At 41.7% G+C, this 25,151-nt stretch overlaps 1 long non-coding RNA gene across 1 annotated transcript in view, besides 2 other annotated features; it reads left to right on the top strand.

Moving 5' to 3' along the window:
* Positions 19,486-19,745: an enhancer, noted in NCBI's record as "active region_4741". NCBI's record gives its function as "activates an Ori minimal core promoter by ATAC-STARR-seq in GM12878 lymphoblastoid cells {active_cell/tissue: GM12878}" and the evidence as "EXISTENCE:reporter gene assay evidence [ECO:0000049][PMID:35858748]".
* Positions 19,820-25,151, top strand: part of GLYATL1-AS1 (GLYATL1 antisense RNA 1) — a 124,810-nt gene continuing 119,478 nt past the window's right edge. The window contains exons 1-2 of the long non-coding RNA NR_033853.2: positions 19,820-19,900; positions 24,646-24,815. This is a non-coding gene — a long non-coding RNA (GLYATL1 antisense RNA 1). The remainder of the gene's footprint in view (positions 19,901-24,645; positions 24,816-25,151) is intronic.
* Positions 19,916-19,985: an enhancer, noted in NCBI's record as "active region_4740". NCBI's record gives its function as "activates an Ori minimal core promoter by ATAC-STARR-seq in GM12878 lymphoblastoid cells {active_cell/tissue: GM12878}" and the evidence as "EXISTENCE:reporter gene assay evidence [ECO:0000049][PMID:35858748]".

Genomic DNA, 25,151 nt, shown 5'->3' with positions numbered 1-25,151 from the left:
TTTCTCTCCCTCTAGCCTGGTACTGGCTTGAATATCTTGAACAACAAGTCCTATTATGTTAAGGGAAAATTTGATTGATTAATCCTCAAATACATATTTTTATCTTTTCTAGCCTAACATGTTATTTCTCTTATTATACTTATCATCAGAAAATCTGGAAGATTCAGTAACCATCAGAACTCTGAAATACAAGTCATACTTAATGGGAGAAATAGGCCAACAGTAGTTTTCCTCTGTTGTGTTTACCTTTCTTTTTTTTGTAGAACTATTTTATTGAGGTATGATTGACATACAATAAGCTGTATGTGTTTAATGTATAAACCTTGATGAAGATAGAGATGAATACATACTCATGAAACCATCACCACAACCTATGCCATAAACATATTCGTCACTTCCAAAAGTTTTGTCTGCTCTATTTATTATCATTATTGTTTGCATATATGTGTTTGGTAAGATCATTTAACATAAGGTTTGCCATCTTTCTTTCCAAATTAGCAGGAGTCCTGTCTCTGATGCTGCTGAGGCACTTTGAAAATCACTATTTAGAAATCTGATGAGATGCCACACAACTAGACATCAGCAAAATGTCAGAATGGGACTTTCTAGTACTTATCCTCACACAAGAACATCAATTTAAACAACTATCTGTGGACAAAAATACCTTCACAAGAGCTAGGGATACCAGGTGAAAAAACACAGAATCTTTGTGTAGCAGAGAAATAAGAAAAGATGAATTGAAGAGCATAGGAAGAACAATTTTACATTACCTATGTCATCCCTCCCACAATAACGGACAGCAGAGCACAGAGAGAGGCAACCTTTGTATTGAAGAAGAAAAGGGAAGTGGGCACTGAACTTTGCCTTCGACGGAAACACAGCCTGATTCAGTGAAATACAGTAATAGGTATGCCGCTATGGCCTCAAACTCCAGGCTCGTAGCTGCAGACTAAGCCAGAGCAGATCCCACAGCCCAGGTTCCAGACTTGCCTGGCAGACATGGTTTCTGGATATATCTTAATGCCAGATCTACCCCAGTGCCCTAGGTGTCAGATGCTCCCTGGGACCAGCCCAGCCCCAGTGACTCCAGGCTCCAGACTGCTCCCAGGACCAGGCTGCCTTCCACAACTCCGGGTTTCACACCAGCCCCAGGGCCAGGCTGGCCCCTTGAACTCTAGTGACCAGGCCAGTGTCCATCGATCCAACCTCCAGGCTGGCCCCTGTGAATACGGGCTCCAGGACTGCCTAGTGCCAGGCTAGCCCCTGTGGTCACAAGCTCCAAGTCTACCCTAGGTTCCAGACCAGCCCAGAACTATGTTGGCTCACACAAATCCAGGATTCAGGCCAACCCCAGTTCCAGGTGGGCAGCCCTAGCACTAGCCCTTAGCTAGGTATCTGGCAAGCATCTGCAGACACAGGCTTCAGGCCAACCTAGCACTCAGCTAATTTCTGCCACCCCACTCTTGAGGCCAGTTCCCAGGGTCACATGCTCCAGCAGACCCAGGGTCCAGACCCATCACAGTTGACTCCACTATTGGGCTTGTGCCCACAGACCCAGTATCTAGCACTGCTTCTGTGGGCCCAGGTTCCAGTCCAGTTCCTCCAGCCCTGGGACCCTAGGCAGCCTTCGTGGACCTAGTCTCCATGCTAGCCCTGAAGACCTAGGTTCTAGGCCAGAATTCACACACCCGGCCTCCAGGCCATTCCGCAGTTTCTAGGCCAGCTCCTATGGCTACAGGCACCAGTCTAGCAGCTATAATCTCAGGCTCTAGACTGGCCCCAACCCCACTCCAACCCTAGGCCAATTTCAGGGTTCAGGCTGGTTTTTGTGACCCAGGATGCAATAAACTCAGAGCCGAGCTGTGCTCTTGCAAACCCAGTGTACAGGCTGAGTTCAGCAGACCCTGACGCTAGGCTGGCCATCATGCACCAAGGCTCTAGGACCATCTCTGAAGACACAGGCTCTAGGTCAGCTCCCATCTACCAAGATCCTAGGCCCGTTTCTTCAGATTCAGGCTCTAATCCTGCACCAGTACCAGGCCAGTCCCCATCGACTCAGATTCCAGGCTCATCCCAGTAGACCCAGACACTAGGCCCATTCCACAACCTAGCCAGCCCTTGTAGACACAGACTCATTGCCCACATCAGAGCCATGTCAGCCCCTGTAGACAGGGGCTTCAGTCCAGCCCTTATTGGTATAGGCTGTATGCCTGCCCTTATAGACATAGGCTTTATGTTCATCCCCACATACCCAATGAAAATATCCAACCAGTGGATACAGGATTCAGGCCCAACTCTACAGACCCAGGAACCAAGCCTACCACCTGCTGACACAGGCACCAGGCCAGCCTGCCTGAAGACTTCAGCAACAAGTTCACCTGCAGACCACAGCAGACACCCTACCAAGAATTGCTGGATGACTGGGAAAAGGTTTTTCCAGACAAAGCCAGTATGCAAAGACTGGAATAACTTTCTTGTTTTTCAAATGTGCAGACACCAATGCACAGCCTAAAAATCAAGAAATATAAGAGAAAAATGATACCACCAAAGGAAAAAAAAAGAATAACCAATAGCTGACCCCAAAAAATAAAGGTTTATGAACTTTCTGACAGTGAATTTAAAATAATGGTCTTTAAAATGCTCAGTGAGTTTCAAGAAAACACAGATGGATGACTAAAAAGAATCAGAGAAATAATACATGAACAAAATAGAAAGTTCAACAAACAGAAAGAAATCATAAAAAAAGAGACATTCTGGACATAAAGGACACAACGGTTGAACTGAAAATTTCATAGAGTTCTTTGAAAGCAGATTTGATCAAGTAGAATAAAGAATCAATGAACTCAAAGACACATCATTTGAAATTACCAAGTCAGAGACACAAAAGGAAAAAAATGAGAAAAAATGAAGACATCCTTTGGCAATTATAGAACATCAGTATGAGAACCAATGCACATATCATGTGTGTCCCAGAAAGAGAAGAGAAACAGATAGGGAAAGAATGCTTGTCTGATGAAATAATAGCAGAATACTTTCCACGTCTGCGGAAAGAGAAATATACAGGTATAGGAACATTGAAGATGTTTGATAAGATTCAGTCTCATCAAGAGTACAAGATATACTTTAATTAAACTGTCAAAAATCAAAGAAAAGAAAGATTCTGAAAACAAACGAGAAAATAAGCCAATAACATATAAGGGAGTTCCAAGAAGGCTAATAGCAGATTTTTGAGCAGAAACTTATAGGCTGAGAGTGTGGAATGATATATGCAATGTTCTATAGAAAAAAAAGTGTCAACCAAAAATACTGTTCCTGGGAAAATCTGTTTTTTGCAAATAATGGAGAGATTAAAATCTTTGCCAGACAAACAAAAACTGAGGGAGTTTATTACCATCAGAGCTGTCTTACAGGAAATGCTAGAGAACAAATGTTAGGACATAAAGCATGTCATAATAAATTTAAGAAGACTGAAATCATACCATTTATCATTCCAGATCACAATGACATGAAAGTAGAAATTAATAACAGGAGAACTTTTAGAAAACTCACAAATACATGAAAATTAAACAGCATGCTTCTGAACAACAGATGGATTAAAGAGGAAATTAAAGTGGAAATTAAAAAATATGTTGAGACCAGCAAAAATGGAAACTCAAAATACCAAAACTTGTTAGATGCTTCAAAACGTTTACAGTGAAAAAGAAGAAAGATCTTAAACAACTTAATGTTACACTTCAAGGAACTATAAAAAGAATAAACTAAGCCCAAAGTTAATAGAATGAAGGAATAAATAAAGATCAGGGCAGTTAAATTAAATAGAAACTATGACAACAATGAAAAAAAACCCCTGAAATTTGATCTTTTGAAAAGTTAAATAAGATTCACAAATCTTTATCCAGACTAACAGAAAAAAAAAGGTTAATCATAAACAAAAAGGAGACATCACAACTTACATCACAAAAAAATCAGGAGACTATTATGACCAATTATATGCCAACAAATTAGATAATCTACAATAAATGGGTAAATTCCTAGATACATAAACCCCACCAGATGAAGAAATTGAAAATCTAAACAGACCAATAATGAGTTAGGAGGTTAAATTAGTAATAAAAAATATTCCATTAAAAAAAAGCCCAGGACCTGATGGCTTCACTGCTGAATTCCACCAAATATTTAAAGAAGAACTCATGTCAATCCATCTAAAAGCCTTCCAAAAAATTGAAGAAGAGGGAATATTTCCAAAGTTGTTTTACAAGGCAAGCATAATCCTGATACCAAAGATAGGGACACTTCAACAAATGAAAATATTAGGCAATAGCACTATTGAACATAGGTGCATCAATAAATATTAATACTAACAAACTAATCCCAACAACATGTCAAAAAGATCATTCATCATGATACAGTGCGCTTTAACGTAGGGATGCAAAGATAGTTCAACATACAGATCCATAAATGTGAAATACCACATCAACAGAATAAATAACAAAATCCATATGACACTTGATAGGTACAGAAAAAGCACTTGATAAAGTTCACCATGACTTCCTGATTATGAACGCTCAACAAATGAGGTATAGAAGGAATGTAGCTCATACAATAAAGACCATATACGATAAATCCACAGTTAACATCACACTTAATGGTGAAATATGAAAAACATTTTTCTAAGATTAAGGACAAGACAAGGATGCTCACTCTCACTACTTCTATTCAGTGCATTAATGGAAGTTCTACTCAGAGCAATTAGGTAAGAGAAAAAAATAAAAAGTATCCAAATTGGAAAGGAAGTAGCTAAATATGTCCCTGTTTGCATATAGCATGGTCCTATATATAAAAAATCCTAAAGACTGCAGCAAACTAGGTTAAAACTACTGAACAAATTCAGTAATATGGCAAGACACAAAATGAATATACACAAATCAGTAGTGTTTCTATACACTAACAATGAAAGACCTGACAAAGAAAAAAATCCTGTTCGCATAAGCTAGAAAAAATAAATACTTAGGAGTAAATGTAAATAAGGTGGTTAAAGACTTATGTAGTGACAATTATGAAAGTTATATGAAAAAAGTGAAGAAAACACAAATAAATAGAAAGCTATTTATTATTTATAGATTGCAAAAATTAATACTGTCAAAATGACAACAATGCCCCAAGTGATTTACAAATTCAATGCAATTCCTATCTAAATACCAATGACATTCTTGAAAGAAATATAAAACACCAAAAAATATATATGTTATCACAAAAGATCCTTAAGAGCAAAATCAATCATGAGCAACAAGAATAAAGCTGGAGATATCACACTACCTAATTTCAAAATGTACTAAGAAGCAATAGTAATGAAAACAGGATGGTACTAGCATCAAAACAGAAAAATGAAACAATGGAACAGAATAGAACGTCCAGAAATAAATCCATGCATTTAAGATGATTGATTTTGACAAAGTTGTCAAGAACATGTGAATGGGGAAGGGGCAGTCTCTTTAATACATGCTGTTGAAAAAAACTGCATATCCACGTGCAGAAAATTGAAATTAGACTTTATCTCACACCACGTACAAAAATCAACCCAAAATGGTTTAAAGACCTAAATGTAAGACCTGAGACTGTAAAACCACTAGGCAAAAACATGGGAGAAAAGCTTCGTGATATTAGTTGTGGCAATGATTTTTGGATAGAATCCCTAAAGCACAGATAACGAAGGCCAAAATAGACAAATGGGATTACATCAAACTAAAACAGTTTTATACAGCAAAGGAAACAATCAACAGGATGAAGAGGCAACCTATGGAATGGAAGAAAATATTTGCAAACCATACATCTGATAAGGGGTTAATGTTTAAAATAATGAGAAACTTAATAGCAAGAAAACAAACAATCCAAATTAAAAATGGGCAAAGACGCTGAACAGATCTTTCTTTCTCTCTTTGTCTCTCTTTGAGTTGCTTTTCCTTTTTACTAGTTTGTAGTAATCTTAAAAACTCTATCACATCCATAAACCACCACAGGTGAGAGGATGATAGAGAATGAATGCTACAGTATGTGGACAGAGTGGGGCAATCCAGGTATTCCCTAGGGTTGTGTGGAAAGGAGGCAGGGAGTGTGAATAGGAGGCTGTCGCTTGGTTCCTTATTGCTGGATGGGGGTTGGCTAGCAGAGGAGAGAGGGACTCAAGCTAAACTAGGAAATAGGGAATATCTCACACCAAAGGCAATGACAGTTGGGGGCCAGGGGGATTACAGTACATTTTCTACACAGACTGCAGGGGTGAGTGAGAGCTTCAGAGACTTGCACCTCTTCATAGGAAGACATGGGTTTGAGGTTGTTTGACTGAAAGCTCCCAAATTGGTATCTGGTCCAATTTCCTAAAATGGCAGCTCACCATTCAGGGAGAGGTACTGAGAAGAAAAGTATAGCACGAGTATGTGGTTTGGAGATGAAGTAAGGGATAAGGGGAGACAGTGGTACTCTCTAAATCTGACTCAGATAAGCAAGAATTGGAAGAGGCCCTTGGGTGAAATGGTGGCCAACACTTTGGGAGAAGACATTGCACCATAAGCTGTAGGTACTCCTGAGGGCTCAGGGACACGGAAGTTCACATTAGGCAGGAAAACAACTGAGAACAATAAATTAGGACTTCATGTTACTGACATCTGGCATAATATAAACCAGGTAATTTTTTTTCCTCTTTATATATAAGGCAACTTGTCAACACATAATTTAAAAAGTGTTCTTCAGTTGCATTGCTTCAGATCACTAGAGAATTCCTGGCTAAAAAGCAGTGGATAGTAGACAAAACTCAACATCTTAAGAACCGTCTGCTCACATTCCCAGAGTCAAGTGGAAAGGGAAGGGCTTATTTGATCCAATGATTTTTTTTAAAGCCCAATTCTGCATCTTTAACAGAAGAAGGGTGTAAAAATTTATAACAAAGCATAATCTAAGTGTAAAGTTGTAGAAAATTGTTAAATTTCTAGTTAACTCATTGCTACTTGGGAATGAGACATATTGGGCATGGAGTGGATAAAGGAGTGCCCTAACAATAAACATGGGGTAAGAGGGGCTGTTTCCAAAGTAGGCTCATCTCCAGTTGTTAAAACCATGCTCATTACGTAAAGGAATCACTCAAGAACATTAAAGCTTTCTGGAGTTTCTTTTTTCCCCCACTTTCCTCTTTAAACTGAGGGGCTGCACTAGGAGGTACTTGTGGAGCCACTCACACACAATGCTGGATTTTAAAGAGCTGCCTTGAGCAGGGTGTTCTCGGTCGGTACATGTTGGTGTTCATTTGCACCTTTTCGAGGCAGGTCGAGGCTTTCCCTACCAGGACAGAGAAAGCATGAGAGGTAACCAAGGTGTTGTTAAAAGACATTATTCCCAGATTTGGACTAACCCTGACTCTTGGGTCAGACGATGGACCAGCATTTGTGGCTGAAATACTTCAGGACTTAACTCGGCTATTAAAAATAAAATGGAAGTTACACTCAGCTTACCGGCCACAGAGCTCAGGAAAAGTGAAGTGCATGAAATGGACACCCAAGCAGCTGCTGAAGAAACTTTGTCAGGAAACTCATCTGAGGTGGGATCAGGTCTCGCCCGTTGTGCTCCTCTGAGTCAGGTGCACCGTCACCAAACAAACTGGATATTCATCCTATGAGATCTCATTCGGCTGGCAAACCCCAATTATAAGTCATATTATAGGTGATCTCCATGAGCTTTGAGAGCTAACCTTAAGGAGGCAAATGCAGTCTTTAGGTATGGCCATGCAAAAAGTGCATGGCTGGGCGTGGGAAAGAAAGCTAAATTGGAAAACATTTTCCTCCTGGTGTGGTGAGACTCCCATAAGACATTGATAAAGTGCCCAGCAGACTGTCGCATTTGGCATACAAAAGTCCCAATAGCTTATTATCTTGACCATTCAGTTTCCAGGGGGATGTAACTCTGGGGACCCCTGATGGAGACGTGACTACATCTGTGCAGATATTTTGTCTGGGGAGGGAGATTCCAGTGCTGGAGGTTTGTCCTTTGAGGAATTCAGGGAGTGTGGAGGAAGCAAGGGTTTCTGGTCAAAGGGGCAAGACAGTGCAGACACACTCCAGAAACCCAGAGGTAATAGTAGAAAGTCTGCTAGGAGGAGCCACTCACAGTTTACTGGACAATCTTCAAGCTGCATGATGCCAGGATCACTAACCTTCTCTGTCACTCGTGCCTTGTCCTTCCGGTCTTTCTAATTCTTGCCTTGTCTGCTGGCCTTGGAGAGAGTTGTGCACCAGTCCCATTGCCCCTTCAGCCCCCCCACTGCCCAATCTGCCTTCATCCGCCAGGTTTGCCTATTCTCCCAGGTGCCTCGAAGCAAAAGAAATTAAACAAGACCAAAATAAATGGAGAAATATACCTTGTTTAAGATTGGAAGACTCAGCAATGATAAGACGCTAATCATCCACTATTGAGATAACTTGTTTATACAATTAACACACAGTTTACACAAACACACAAACTTTGATCCAGGTATTGCACCATACAAAAAAATAAAAATAAGACTTAATTGCAGACTTAAACCTAAAACTATACAACTTCTGGAAGAAAACTTAGAAATGATTTTTGTGATCTTACATTTAGCAGAATTCTCTGATGTAAAAAACAAAAGCATGATTCACAAAGAGAAATATGGAGAAAGTGAACTTCATCAAATTTGAAAACTTTTCCCTCCCAAAACAGGACTAAGGGGATGAAAGGACAAGCTATACAGAGATAAAATATCAGCAATTATCACAAATGTTATGAGAAAAGCAATATGACAAAGGACTTGTTTCTAAAATATGTAAAGCCCTCTCAAAACTCAGCAATAAGTAACCAGTATAAAAATGGGCAAAATATTTTAATAGACACTTCCCAAAGAAGATATGTGGATGATATAGACACATGAAAAGATGCTCAAATCATGAGTCATTAGTGAAATGCAGATTAATACCACAAAAGGATGTCATTACATACCTATGATAATAAATGAATCAGAAAAACTTTGTGTTGAAAAGTATATGAAACAACTGGAACTCTTACACATTGGTATCGAGGATGTGAAATTACACAGCCATCTTGAAATCAATTTGACAATTTCTTATAAAGTTAAACATACACTTTCCATGACAGCAATTCCACTGCTAGGTGAACCCAAGAGAAATGAAAACTAATCTTCATACAAAAACCTGTATGCAAATGTTCACAACAGCTTTATTTACAAACTCCCCAAACGGGAAACAACTCAAATATTCTTCAGTGAGTGAATGGATAAACAGATTTTTGATACATTCACACAGTGGGAATGCTACTCAGCAATAAAAAGAGAAAAACTGTCAATGCATGCAACAGCACCCATGAATCTTAAGTGGAATGTTCTAAGTGAAAGAAGCCAGACTCAAAGTGTATGATTCAGTGTATGTTCAACTTATATGATGTTCTGGAAAAGGTAACACTAGAGTAAGGAAGAGATTAGTTGTTGCGAGGGACTAGGGTGAATAGGGGATGAGTGGGGAGAACGCGGAATTATTTATTGTGATGGAACCACAAAAGGAGTTATTTAGTGTGATGAAACTGCTTTGCTTCTTGATTTTGGTCATGGTTACATGACTGTAGGCATGGTTACATGAACTATATACCAAAAAGACTGAATTTTACTGTATATGAAATAAATGAATTTAAAAGAAACAAGAAAAGTTAAAGTCTTTCGAATAATCTGTAAGACAATTAATTGGGTGTAGCGTGTTTTGCGTTTATTTCTATCATCTTTTTTTGTATCACCTACTTTTTCCACTTTTTCACAATTTATAAACCTTTGCTTTGTTGCCTCCTTTATTTTGATTTTTTCCTCTCATTCTATTTTCTAGACAAATAGTTTGGCAGTTTTACACTGTAGTTCTATTCTATAATTGGATGCCCTAAACAAGTATTGCCCAATAAAATGTCTGCAGTGATGGAAATGTTCTACATCGGTACTGCCTAATACTACCGTCACAGGTGGTTCTTAAGTACTTGACGTGTGATTAGTGCAACTGAGATTTTGTATTATTCACCTTTTTCATTATTTGATATTAGTTAAGTTGAATTTAAATTTGAATATAAATAATCACATGTGGGCCGGGCACGGTGGCTCACGCCTGTAATCCCAGCACTTTGGGAGGCCGAAGTGGGTGGATCACGAGTTCAGGAGATCGAGACCATCCTGGCTAACACGGTGAAACCCCGTCTCTCCTAAAAAATAGAAAAAATTAGCTGGGCATGGTGGCGGATCCCTGTAGTCCCAGCTACTCAGGAGGCTGAGGCAGGAGAATGGCGTGAACCCAGAAGGCAGAGCTTTCAGTAAGCCGAGATCGTGGGGCTGCACTACAGCCTGGGCAACACAGCGAGACTCCGTCTCAAAAAAAAAAAAAAAAAATCACGTGATTAGTGGCAACTGTCTTGAACAAAATAGCCCTGGGCATTTTAACATTAATATTTAACTTAACAAAGTCTAAAGTGAATTAAATAACTCCTCCTAAGCGATACAGAGATAAAGTCGGCAAACGCGTCTCCTCTATTTACAGAAGAAAATCCAAAAACCTACACATGGATTTCAAAGAAGTAGGAGATACTGCAGCTATTTTCCAGAAAGCTATTCTACCTCTCTCACACTTTTTAGGAGCCATACATGTATGGAAATGAATTCATGACAGCTTAAGAATATCTATATGTGCCCTCGGAGTCACAAGGTTTTGTGCTGAAATGGGTGAGCTACTTAAGTTGGGACAATAAGATGGCAAAGAGAAGTTTCCTCAGGAAACCAGGGTAGACTCATTATCGGGAGAGTAACACATCCGATATTACTGCAGCTGTATTTGTCACTATGCAGAAAGCCAGCCAGGGGATAACATGAAAAGCAGAACATAGAGACTGAACACACAAACAAGTCCTCAAAGAAACTGTATACTACTGAATTAAGAGCTCTGCTGAATTCTGGAATGTCCACTCAGGTGAACCAATGAATCCATTTTATTGTTTCACAAGTAGAAAATATTTTTACTGTCAATATGAAAAGCTCTTATTGATATAAAGCCTACTGTGATCTTGGCACCACACTACCTTACCAGTATAGAAAGCATTATTTGCCTACCACATTCTTGAATTCTCCTTACATAGCATCAAATGCAGCTATCCTGTTCCCCAAATATGTTTTCCTGTGTACATGACTTTACTCAGGCCATTCCTTCATCCTTGATACACTAGTGAAATGTTATTCATTCTTTTTAAAAAATAAATTAGTTTTAGACATACCAAATGCATAATTAATGTACATAATTAGTGTATACAACTTGATGAATGTGAAGATACATGATCACCACATTCTATGACATCGACCTATCTATCACCTCCCAAAGTCTCTTCCTGCCCTCTTATTTATTATTTTTGTAATAAGAACACAACATAAAATCTATCATTTTAGCAAGAATTTGAGTGCACAATAGTGTTAACTATTGGCACTCATGCTGTTCAGATCCCTACAACTTATTCACCTTGTGTAAGGAAACTTTGTATCCCTTGACTAACACTTCCATTTTTCTCTCTTCCCAGCCCAGCAACCACTTCTACATCTATGAGTTTGACAATTTTAGATTTATTTTTCATTAATAAATCATTTCTCATATGATGCTGCTGTAGTTTCCTTAGTCTGAATTAAGTATTCTTCTCTCTGTACTCTAAAATCACTTGTTTATATCTCAATTTAGTATTATCATTTTGCATATTTTGAGCAAAATAGTGTGGGTCAAAAACCAGTCTCTGTAGTCTGACTGCCTAGGTTAAGATCCTTGCTTTGAAGTCCGTTACTTCTGCAACTATAAGCAAGTTGAGCTTCAGTTTCTTCTTTTGTAAAATAAGTATGATAATAACTACTGCACAGTTCTATTAACTGTTAAATGGGATAATCCATATGATGGGACACAATTCCAGGCACACAGTGTTTCCTCAGAAAACATTAGCTAATTATTTTTGCCTGTCTATACTTTCCATGATTTTAAGTGTCTATATTATTTGTTAGTCATCTTGTTGTCTTAAGACACGTTTAGCATTATTAACTCATACTCTATCATTATGCTTTCCACAAGCACTTATGTGTATGAGCTACCCAAATATATTTTAAACTACCTAAGAGAAAGGCTTATAACGACCATTGTTTAAGAACTTATCTCCAAGAACCTCATATGGCACTATGGTTAGACTATCACTCCTCTGAGGAGTTGTAAAAAAGTAGATATACCTTTGAAACTTCAGGTCTAGTCCTCGGGTCATCTTTTGTGGCACTAAGTGACTTGTTTTCTTCAGTCTTCATGGAATTCATGATGAATTCGAAGAGAATATAACTAATATTTACTAGTGGATAAGATGGAGAAACAAGGATTGAGTTCATTCTGCCACATGAAATGTCTAAAAAAAACCCAAAAAGGAAAGATCTGTGAAATAACAACTCTCAATCATTGGACATCAGGCTGTGTGGGACCTCATCTCTGATATCTGAGAAGAAAATCATATGAGGTAAGCCCTGTGGCTATTTAGGTTACTGTATGGAGTTTCCAAGGCATATCTTAGGCAAGAGAACAGGCAGAGTCTAGCAGTTTCCCTGAGTTGAGAAGACAAGCTTGGAGTTTTGGGAGGCCAGGCTGACTGGAGCTTGTATGGCAGAGTACTAGGGAGAAGAGAGCCACAGGAGCACATAGTATCAGAGATCTGCAGTGGGTATCCCTTGAGATTTCAGCTTGGTCAATGCATGAGTGGAATAAAGCTGTTGAAAAGGAACAGGAAAAAGAAGTACCCAAAAGGAGCAGATGTAACAATTTCTGAGGCTCATACAGGACAGGGAATAGATTCAGTTCACAAAAATCTGACTAGAAAATTTCACAATTCATGAAATATCAGAGAGACTACTCTGAAAGGTATTTCTTCCACAGTGGGACAAAATTAGCCCTAGTTCTGCTCCCACCTAACAAATAAAAGCAAACTTTGAAATTATAAAATGGTTTCCATGTAAAATATCAAGGTACTAAAATAAAGTTCAAGAATATTGATGGGAAGGTAAAAATTTCTGGCACCCAAAGTTGTGAAATTAACAAAGCTTGATATCTAATAAAACAATCAGCAAGCATTTAAGAAGTGGATAAATATGACCCATAATGACTAGGAACATCAGTGAATAGAGACAGATCCAGAAGTGAGAGAGATGATGGAACTAGTAGTCAGAAATATTAAAAGTCATTACCTTGAATTTCTGGCCAAAATGGAAGAACAGGGACTGGATTTCCCCCTAGTCTGAAAGCAAAACAAAACAAAAATGGGCAAAATATATGAAACAACGCTTTGCGAGGAACTGGACATCATGCAATTAAGGATAGTGACAACTGAGATGCATCCTACAATCCACGCTAGCAGACTAACTTGAAGGATTCCAGGCCAGTGTCGCAAGGAAGGGCAGCAAGACAAAGCCAGTTGGAATTCTAGATTTGAGGAGACAAAGCGGAGAGACCAGGGTGGCAAGAGGTCACGGGCCACAGACCCTGGTGGGAGACCTGCACAGAGAGGGAACTCCGGATATATGAAGAGGGTTCCCCTAAAGCATTCAGCTGCGTACTGATCAGAGCAGCAGCTGAGAAAACTTCCCAAGGCCAGGAAAGAACCACCCTAAAACTGTCATAGTCTAACTTTCCTCCAACCCTCTCCCTGTAACCCTTTTGGGGATCCCCGTTTTCTCATTTCTAGATTAAGGTCTTTGGCTCAGATGAAACTTTTATTGTTCGTGTGAATTGGTTCCTCTGAGCTTTTTAAAAAGGATTCCAGATCCCACCCTCACAGACTCTGATTCAGTATGTCGGGGTGTGGCTATGGAATCTGCATTTTTACCTGCCTCACTCCACAACCCCTGCCTCAAACTCGCACCAAGTTCTTTGAACAGCTGCCTCTGTCACCGCAGGATGACCTCAATGCTTTCCTAAAGCCCCAGAACCAATTAAGGTAACCTGTGCTTGAAGCTGTGCTTGCTTACAGAAACAGAGACTGGATGTCAGTAACCACCGTGCTACAAGATGGGAAACGAACTTAGAAGCGCTACCCTAACCTGAATCCTCAATTGCTAATTACCATACCTCAATCTGTGCCTACGGGAGAAATGCAGCTTGCTAGGCACATGTAGTGTTGGGCGGCAACAGCAAATAGGAGACTGCCACACTCAGCTGGTTCTGGAAAGCCCCATCTCTTTCCAGGAATCCTTGCTTTCCAACTACGTGCCCTAAAAGACCTTAAGGAGCACCCCCACACTACACCCCAGGCACTTTGAGCAGGAGCTCTCCTACTCCATTCCTTGATCAGTGAATAGTTTCTGCTCTGCTTAACCGAACCTGGTCTCCTTCTACGGGCGAGAAAGGCACCGGGTAGGGAAAGGACCCACCAGGGTCAAACGACCCTCTTGAGATTCAGGAACACCCAGATGATCTCCAAGTATCTTTTCAGGAGTACAACTCTTGGCCTTTGAAGCTGAGACGGGAAGGGAATTACAACGGGCGGCTGCCCAGCTCCCCATCCAAAACCTCCTTGACTTTGGGCTGAGGTCCTTCTGCCTACTGCCCTTGTCAGCCATCCTCTTAAGAACTCCAGGTCCGACCCGGGAAAAGAAAAACCACTCATAGAACTGGAGAGTCTGTCCACACGGTGCACGTGCCCGTCAGTGCCCACCGCTCTGGATTCACAGGTGCTGGAAAGTCTGCTCTCTTATATCTCTCAGCTGAACTTTTCCCGCCTAGAAGGGCTCGCCCGCGTGCGGCAGGAGCCTGGGAATTGACACTCTCACTGGCCAATGGACGAAGAGTCTCTGGAGGCTGTTTTTCCCTCATTGGATGTAAATGACTCATCTCTCATCCACTTTGGAAGCCAATTATCATCACTCCAGACAGTGAAGGGAAGGGAAGGATGAGAGCACACGCCTGCGCGCGCGCGGGTGGGTCTGAAGGCCGGGCGGAGGGCACTGCGCGCCCACCCGCACCCCTCCTTATTTGTCTGGATGACCCTTCCCGGTCTCAGTGATCCCCTCTCCGCGCCACTCAGTCCACGGGGACAGCTCCCGCGTCCCAGGATAAACTAAGCAATCACTGCCCTGCTCCTTCCTTCTCATGGGAGTCCCCTGTCTCCCAGTGGAAGCCAGGGAGGAGCTGCGCGGCAGCTGGGCGGAGTGCGAGGCACGTGGCGCTTTCGCGCTTTCCCAGACTTTTGATTGCCAGCTTGGGCAGCGCGCTGGCGGGAGCTGCAGGGCGAATAGCCAGCCAAGTTGCTTAGGTGTGTGGCAGTTGCTGCCATTCTGCAGCTGCGGGGTGGGCGACGGTGGCGGGATGAGCATCCAGGCGGGATCCTTTGGCAGCAGCAGAGAGAGCTCCACCCGGATGATGCAGAGGCTCAGGCTCCAGCGGACTTCAAGTCCCAGAGCAGGCTGCACCCGCGTCTGCGTGAAGTCTCCAGGGATTTGGCCTGATCCGCAAATGAGCTAACTTCGCGGAGGGGCTGGCGAACACAGACAATGCCAGCCTGGACGAGGAAGCGGCCAAAACTGCTTAGGCTTGGTTCCCAGGACGCGCATTACTGAGTGCGGTACTTTACTCTTCGGATGAAGACTCCAGAGTTCGGCCTCCCCAAACTGATATCAAAGAAGTGCTTTCCATGGGACTTGAGAAAACGTCTTACTGTTTAAGGAAAGAACGTCTTACTGTCTGAGACCCTGAATAGAAGGAGATGCCTTTAGTATTGGGTGTTATTTTTCAGAAGTTGGTCAAAGAAGGATACAAGATGGTTGATTAAGTGGGGATGGTGACAATTATTTTGCAACTCATAGAAGGACAGATGTTTATGTAACAGTTGATAGTTTTGGTGGAATAATCATGAGCATGTTTCTGAAATTAATATAAAATATACAGAGACCCCTAAAATCACTGCTTAAATTACATAGGTCTTGTGGTGTTTGGAAAGAGCAAACTTTGGAAGTATAATTGTAAAAATAATGTCATACAGTCAAGGAGAAGAGAAAACTTAAGGACAGCTTTCTCAAATCGCTGTTATTCTTGAATCATCTGAAAGCAGTACACGTGCCTGGCACCAATATACATCAGAGAGTAAATCATTGCACAAGGAGACTTGATCTTCTTTTTTTGTAGAATCTGGAGGAAAAATATCTATGAAAACCAAGAGGTAGTAGAGAATGGTGTTGTCGGAATTGCCTGACATCATTGGAGATAGAAAATTTGCCCTGGTAAAAGGTGCTCCTCAGGGAGGAGCATCTGCACATTCCATTAGCATAAAGCCCCTGGTGGGCCATATGAAGAAGTCTGGATTTGGCTATAAATGTGAAATTTATTTTAAATGGAGGATTTGAAGTAAGGGAGAAATATACCCTGACATATTTTTTAAAACCACCCTAGCAGCGTTTGTGCGCGGTACAAACTCTGGGAGGACAAGAAGAGATGTGGAAGGGAGAAGGCAGCTAAGAGTCTATCCCAGGATTGCAAAGATGTTGGAGCCCGACCTCAGATGGTAATGGTGGAAGTGTTAGAAATGGCTGGATTCCACATTTATTTTGAAGGGCCAGCCCATGGAATTTGCTTATGGATGGTCCATAAATAAGAGAAACAGAGGGCTCAATGATGATTCCTGGGCTTTTGACTTGAGCAACTAGAAGGATGGGGAAGTCTGAGGACAGAGATGCTGTGTGTGCCAGGATTGCGGTGCTTATGTGTGTTTGTGTAATTCTACTTGTGACATGTTGAATTGGTGATGCTAATCCACTCCAACTGAAAAATAAGGAGGGAAGTGGACATTCAACACATGATGACAGGAAGACAGGGAAGCTGGGACTTATGATGGTAACAATGTTGGCCATTAGCTGAGAAGTTTTGTATTTCAATGTTGGCCATTAGCTGAGAAGTTTTGTATTTTTTTTTTTTTTTTTGGACACAGAGTCTTGCTCTATTGCTCAGGCTTTAGTGCAGTGGCATGATGTCGATTCACTGCAACCTCCACCTCCTGTGTTCAAACCATTCTCATACCTCAGCCTCCTGAGCAGCTGGGATGACAGGTGCTTGCCACCATGCCCAACTGAGTTTTGTTTTTCTAATAGAGATGGGGTTTCACCATGTTGGCCAAGCTGGGTCGAACTCCTGGCCTCAGTTGCTTTGCCTGCCTCAGCGTCTCAAAGTACTGCGATTAGAGATGTAAGCCACCACGTCAGGCCTAAGAATTATAATTAAAGTACAGGGAAAATTAAAAGGGAGAAGAAAGTTCACAGAGAGATATCATGGCAAATGATAAATAAAAAAGCCTGCCTTGTTTCCCATACCCCCTGTGTCTTCGATTCCCTGAATTTTACCTCCCAGTGGACCGTGCTTGTTCCTTCGTAATGGCGCTCCAAGCAGCACTGCTGCACACCAATTCCTGAGCTTCCCTGCTTCTTGAGCTTAGGAATAGTTGTGCTTCTACTTCCTGTTTATTTGCTCATCACTGGCGTAGCAACTGAACCACACAATTGGGATAAGTAACCTGATGCCGTTTTGGGGAGCAATCTTCCATTTCTTCCTTACGTATAAAACTGACCCTCACAGAGAAACTAACTGTCTAGAGCGATAGGTCCAGAGTAGAGCTCTAGCTTTGCTTTTCCCTTTGCAGCTTTGCCCTGAGAGGTTTGATGCAATCCCACTGCAATGGGAATCCGTGAAAGAGTAGGGATGCTCAGGGAATCTGTTGGGCCACTAGGAAAAACTCATTTCTAGCTAATGCTTATACGGGGCTATGGAAGTTGTCTAACATCCCTGGGGACAGAGTGTTTGCCCTGAAAAGGAACATTCCCTTGGCACAAAGCATCTTGTTGGCTGGATTTTATAATAAACGTGACAAGAATGCTTTTGGCCAGTAACTGGTGGTTAGGTCATATTGTGGTTTGCAAACCCATAAAGAGGAAAAGGCCTCTCATGTGGTTGGGAGAGGTGGGAATGGATCATGCACTAAGGTCAGGTCTGGTGAAGTTAGGGAATAAGGCCAGTGTTTACGAAGAGTGATTCCTTCATGAACCCATAAAAGATGCTCTTGAACCCTAATAGTAGGATGATGTCTGTATTTAGAGTTGCAGACAACATGTTCTGGGAATACAGAGGAAGGCACCACTGCCTCTACCCTGAGAGTATATCACAGAGAAAGATTAATATTTGGACTAGATGGCTGAGAGATGAGTAGGAGTTTGATAGAAGAGAACAGGGGAAGTGTCTGGATGTACAATGGCAGAAGTGGCAGGAAAGGCTGAGGAGAACTGGCCTCTGGGGGTGGGTTATAGATATGGGCCTGGGCACCACATTCTGGAGCTTGCAATGGGTTATGTAAAAGCTTAGATGGGACGGTCTTTTCCTCTCCTCCTGTGGGTTCGTAGTGGGCCCACCTCACTCACTGCTGCAAACAAGCTGCCCCCATTTGAGAGAGAGCTGGAGTGGGGTCTCTAAGCCTCCAGCAACCACTTAGGAGCCATCCTTGATGCCCTGGCAGCTAACTCTTCACATGGAGACCCCGTAGTCCATCCTATCTTGGGAAGACAATGCACACAGGGGGAAGGTAACATCCCCCTCCAGATTCCAGAGGCTCCAAGGAGCCTCTCTCTCTCTTCAAGAAAAGAAATAGTCACTGAGCCACGGGTGGAGGTGAACATGGTTTGGGACCAACAGGCGGCTGGATGGTTTCACCTCCACGGTCATACAATGGTACTGGGAGATGAATGGGGGTAGGGCGATCTAGAATCATTTCAACCTCAACTTACAATGGGGTGGTGCTTGGTAGTTGACTCATTGTGGCCCCATTTAATATTTGCAGTCACCAGTTGGGGTAGGTGTGACTGTTGCTCCCATTTCACAGATTAGGACAGGATAGTTTGCTAGAGGTCACAGGACTAGTTGGGGAAAGGAAAGGGTGTCAGGTAGGATTTTAACCTTAGAGCCTCACGCTTTCTTAGGCTCTTTCAGGGAGACCTTGGGCAAATTCCTTTCTCTCTTGGTGGGGGGGTCTCCATTTCTTATTTGTAAATTAAGGAGTTCTTCCAGTTTGTGATTCTCTGTACTTTAACTTGGATAGGTTTTTTAAAATGGGGATTATGGGAACCCCACTATATTTAAGTAGAGTAGGTCTGGGGTGAGGCCCAGTAATCTGCAGCTTTGAACAAACCCCGGCATCAACAAAACTGGTTGAGATACTCAGGAAAGTTTATGGTGCATGAAAATCTTATTGCGAGCATCCAAAACACATAACACTGAGCTCCATCTGCAGAGATCCTGTTTTGATACCCTTGGTTGGACTGTGGCTGGGTAATTTGCATTTGTCAGAAGTGAGGCCAGTCAGCTGGTCAACCAGTCCTCCTGTCACTCTGTGACCCTCCCCCGGTGTCCGCGGTGCTTCTTTACTTGCATCTTGTGGGAATGACATCTGCGCAGGCAGCCCCTTTTAGCACCGCCCCTGGCACAGGAGCTGAGCTCTTAAAAACCAAGCCCAGCCCTGAGTTTGCAGATACTCAGGGAAGGGGAAGGTGCCTTTCCGCATTTGGTGTAGTCCCGCATTCTGCCATATGATGGCGCCAGAGAACGCGCCTACCGGGATAGGGAGGGGCAAGGAGGCGAGGAAGGAAAAAAAAGAGACAAGTGAAGATTGACATCCATTAAGGCCAATGGTAGCTCAATCTTCTGTTCTCTGACTCCCAAGCTTCCCATTCTCTTAGGAGGCTGCATTTGTGGCGCTAAAAAAAGGGATGGGCGTGGGAGATTCCAGGACTTGTGCTCGCTGAAGATACAACTGTTAGTCCAAGGTAACTCCCGCTCGTAGTGGCTCAACCCTCTTTGTCAATTCACCTTCCTCTAAGTTAACTATGGCTGCTCCACCTGTCTTTAGGGAAACCTACTCCCCATCGCGCTGGGTGTTTTGGAGTTTTTAAAAGCGTCGCGGGGTAAAGTCAGTGTTGTGCTTTTCCTTTTCTCAGCAGGTAAGTATTCCTGGAGCTGACAGCGGGGAGTTGCCGGGCGGGAGTAGGGGTGAAGAGAGAATAGGGAGAGAGATAACAGGTGTGAAGCGTCCCTCAATGCCAGGCATCCTGCTTTGGCACCTTCCAGAAATTTGTCTCAATCATCTTTCTATTGAATTCATTTTCTGTTTCACAGATTAGGAAACCTCAACTAAGTGGCCCAAGGAGAGTCCTTGGATAATTTTAACTTGTGTCAGAAACCAAAGCCCAAGGTCTTTTATTTTGCAGAGGCTGCTTTGGCAGGATTTCAATGCATGCAGGTCCTGCGAATCACTGCTCCTCACTCAATGATCCATCCCGCTGTCCACACATTCATTCACCCATTCATTTCTTAGGGGCTTATCTGCAAGGCGTGGGGCTGGATGATACTAAAAATACAAAAGGGACTCTGATGTAAAGTAGAAGAGACTTTTTAAAAAGATTTACACAGAATTCCGGTGCTCAGCATGGTTTCGATTTTTTTCCCCAACATACTATTGATACCTATTATGTTCCACATAATATGATGGATTCTGAAGATACAGAGATGGGTGAGACCTATCCTTGCCTTTCAGAAGCTCGTTGTCATAGGCAAGAGTAATCTCTGAGGTTTAATTTTAGATATCTATTTTTTAACAAATTGAGCATCAACTCTATATATTCTACTGTAATTAATGTACTAAATAATTAAATATTACACACACTTAATTTCTTATTTTTTAGATGAAGATGAATCTAAGTGGTGGTTCAAGTATGTCCTTTGTCCATCCTAGTGGACCATTTTGGGTGCTTCAGACTGCAACTCTACCCTCCTGTTATGTGCTTGGCTCTATTCCTTCTTTCTGCAGCTCTCTGTCAAATGACAGGCTTTGAGGGAAACCAGTCCTGACCCCTTCCTGTTTTCTCTCCTTTTTACCTGCTCCTATCTGAGGCCTCTTTTCCTATTTATTTGTTGTTCTTTCTCCCTCCATCATCTTCTGTCGTCAAATCATGTGTTGTTTTCATATACTACATCTGAGTTTATAGGGAATATGTTCACAGTTGTTTTAATTTTTGGTTTAGCTTCTGCCTCCCTGCTCCAGAATGTAAGCTTCAAGAAGGGCGGCGAGGAGTTCTTGACACCTGTCACTGCCTGAGAAACGGTTGGGGATGGAGGGAGACAGTTTTGCCCAGTGCATCCTGAAATCCCCTGAGGTGGGGGTGGGAGTGGAGGGAAGATCAGGGAATGTCCATTCATTTTATGAAGTTGAAGTTGGGTTAAATCCTATTATATCCTGTGATGTTGTTTGTTAATCTCAACCTGAAGACCTCATCGCTAGTCATCCACTTTTTGCTAGCTTTGTGACCTTGAATGAAAGTTCAAGGCTACCTTGTTTCTTTGTACCTCAGTTTCCTTATGTATAAAGTGGAAAATTATATTTGGTCATCCTAAAATGTGATGTCATAGGGAATCAGTCACTTGAGGGTAAAAGACAAACATTTGTCAATGTATAAGGCTGCAGAAATTATATTCTTGTGAGGGTCAAAGAAAGATATTTGTGGATTTGAGAGTCTTCAGATATTATATCGGTAGCATATGTACATGCAGGAAATACTGAAGAAGCAATTTAATCAAATAGGAAAAGAGATTTCAGATAGGAGCAGAAAATAAGGAGAGGAAACAGTGGTGAGTAAAAAAAAATTGACAAATTTTATGTAGAGAGTTAACTCTAAATGGACAATGATAGGCTCTCTGGGAATGTGTAAGAAAAGTTTTAAAGAAGGATTCTTTAAATTGATGAGACACACTGCAAGGGAAATTCTGTGACACCTGGAACTAAAACACGTGGAACTAAAACATCGGGCTCAGGGGGTTGAACGGTAGAGGAATAAAAGCATTTTGTATCACTTAGCACACTCATCTGGATCTGAGGAGGGAGCAAAACAGGGAAATAAATCTATTGGAAGATGTCAACTTATTGAGGTAAAGGAGGAAACGGTGAATAGCTGTTACTTTATTTTATATAATAGTAAACAAATTTGTGTTCAATTATGAGCACTAGAAACAAATACCAGTGATTGAATAAAAAGTTAATAAGGGAATATGATGTATAAGTGAGTTAATAAGAGAACTTGATGGATAAGTGAATTAATAAGAGTCCACAGTGGAGGCAATTTCCCCTTTTGAAAAACATTATCTTTTGAATATACGCAGGATATACTTTTCAAAAGAAAAAAAGGTGTATATTGGGGAAACAATTTTCACTCATTCTCGAGACACTCAATACTTTTCCCTAGATAATCTATGGCTATACAAGCATAATAATGCCTTTTCAATATATTTTCCCAGCAACTAAGAAGTTCAGTGTTTATAATTGTAATAAGAAGCGTGCTGATCTGGCCTGAAATATAGTTTTACTTTAGATATATGTCTCATAAATAGAATTTAAGAAGTCAGGGAATATGCTTAGAAAGGGATTACCAAGGCCCTATAACACATGAGTTTGGGGGCACAGGGTGATTAAGATTTAGAATAAAGTTAGGTGAAATCTAGGGCCAAAGGATAGCAGGAGGGTGTGTGTGTGTGTATGTGTGTGTGTATGTTGGGTGGGGCAGGTGGGAACCTTTGGAGAATGCCTGTAGGCTGCTAGTGAGGTGCTATGATCTCTAGACCTTGGTAGGTCCTTGCAAAGAGACAGGGTTCTGAAAGGCTGGCACCATTATAGGTTTTTAAAATATTTTTGTTATCCATAGGGGTGACCCTGGAGATCATTACCAAAATTTAAAAATTTCACCACTGGGCACACATGTTACCCTTCTCGTGATGGCATGGCAAAGCTTGATTTGCAAGAGTTTCTTTTGGATTGTCCCCAATGATTCCCTTTAAAAATAGGAGCTCCTTCAAGGTAAGAAAGGAAGGAGAAAATATCCCTTCTAACCTATTTTCTCTTTTGCATTCCAAGGACTCTGGAAAGGCACAGCAGGTTTGTTTTTGAAATCTGTAGAATTTTAGTGCTCTCCATTCTCCCAAGTAGATGACTTTAGTGAAGGTAAAAGGAAAGACTGTTTGCTGTGTCAAGGGAAGATTCATATGCAAATCCCAAGACTCAGATGTTATTTCAGAAGCTTTGGTGTCCATAGTAAAGTAGAACTAGCCCGGGTTCATCTGCCTACAAGGGCAATTGTATGAGGCAAATATGAGGAAACTGGCAGAACAGGAGGGGTGGAATCTTCCTGGGAGAAACAGTAAAGAGAGTTCTAGGTGGAGAGGGGATCAATGTGTTGAGCAAACACATGGCTGTCTTCTTAGTTCCTATATGAAATCATGGAAAAGACTTTTGAACAAAGAATAAATATGTCATAGCAGGAAAACAAAAAGCAGTCTTTTGGCCAGAAATAGAAACTGTTAAAAAGAAAAGCAAACCAACAACAATAAAAAACACCTTTAAGTTTGAAAATGACAGAAGTTAAGAAGTGGAAAGTTGCCTGGGATATGCTTTTATTGCGGCCTCTCTAATAAACCCGTCCCCACTCCATCTTCATGTCCTTGCTTATCCTAAGCAGCATGGTGGCAGCTGTGGCATTCTTCAGACTAAAGTGGTCATTTTTGGCACTTGGGCTTGAGATGGCAGTGAAGCGGCATCGTTTGTCTGGGGAAATGCCAGAGGTTTGCTGTCTCACAGTATGGAAATTGAGATGTGGACACCAAAGGAGTGGGTTCAAGAGCAAAAGTTTAATAGGCAAAAGAATGAAGAGAGAGTTTCCTCATGCATTGGAAAGGTGCCTGAGCAGGTTTCCGGGTTTGGGGCGAGTTGTGGTTGGTTTTATAGAGGAGCTTGAGGAGGCAGTGTCTGATTTACATAGGGCTCAGAGGGTTGGTTGGAGCAGGTGTGCCATTTATGTGATGCATGAAGAGCCTGGCCATCCCACATGAATCTTTAGTATGCAAACGGGGCCTCTACCTGGCCTGTGCCATGTCGCCTGCACACGTGAATACAAAGAAAAGGGAATAGGAGGCCACGCGTGGTAGCTGATGCCTGTAATCCTAGCACATTCGGAGGCCAAGGACGATGGATCACGAGAGGTCAGGAGTTCAAGACCAGCCTGGCCAAGATGCTGAAACACCGCCTCTACTAAAAAAAAAAAAACACGAAAAAAAAATTAGCCATGCGTGGTGGTGGGCACCTGTAATCTCAGCTACTCAGGAGGCTGAGGGAGATAATTGCTTGAACCCAGGAGGTGGAGGGTGTAGTGAGCTGAGAATGCACCACTGCACTCCAGCCTGAGTGACAGAGCGGGATTCCATCTGAAAAAACAAACAAACAAACAAAAAAAAATAGGAAGAGGAAACCTCTATGTTGAGGATGCCTGGCTTCCAAGTATCCCTTTTCTATTTGCATAGGTGCCAGCATTTAGCTATGCAAGTTTTTAGTTTGCTTATGTATGCTTGTGGCTTGATTTTTTAGGCTGATTTTTGCTAGAAAAGAAATTATATGGGGGCTGCTTTTTATTAAAAGAAAAACCTTACCGAGGACTCTCTTACCTACACTAACTGCTTAATAATTTCTTTTTAGCTCCTGTATCAGCAGTGCTTGCACCTCATAGGTGATGATCATGAGGGGGACAAGGAGCCTCTAGACTTAAGAGACAAGTTGCCAGCATTCTCCAGATGGAGTGTTTCCCTCCGCAGCACCCCCTGCTGGTCAGTTTGACAAGCAGGTGAACAGAAGTTCTCAAATACACAGTAAGCAGATAACCCCAACATCACCAGAAATATCAAGTTGTGATGGCATTTTGGCAAATTGTCTTTATTTTTTGTCTGCATCATCTGTTGCTTTCTGAGGGAAGTTTTTTGAGTTCTCCCACTGAGACTGTGGATTTGCATTTTTCTTTTGTATGTCCGTCAGCTTTTGCCATGTATAGTTTGTAGTTGTGTTGTGTTGAGGCAGATTCATGATCTATGTTGTGGGAGAATTTCTGTATTTAGCAGATGTTCAACTTACGTTCTATTTTGCCAAGTGTTGATGGTATTACTTTGCTTTTCAGTTTCACATTCATTTAGTATATCTTTTTCCTTTCC

The sequence above is a fragment of the Homo sapiens genome, chromosome 11, assembly GCF_000001405.40.
Source record: "Homo sapiens chromosome 11, GRCh38.p14 Primary Assembly".
NCBI lineage: Eukaryota > Metazoa > Chordata > Mammalia > Primates > Hominidae > Homo > Homo sapiens.
This window is presented reverse-complemented; position numbering and strand designations above follow the sequence as displayed.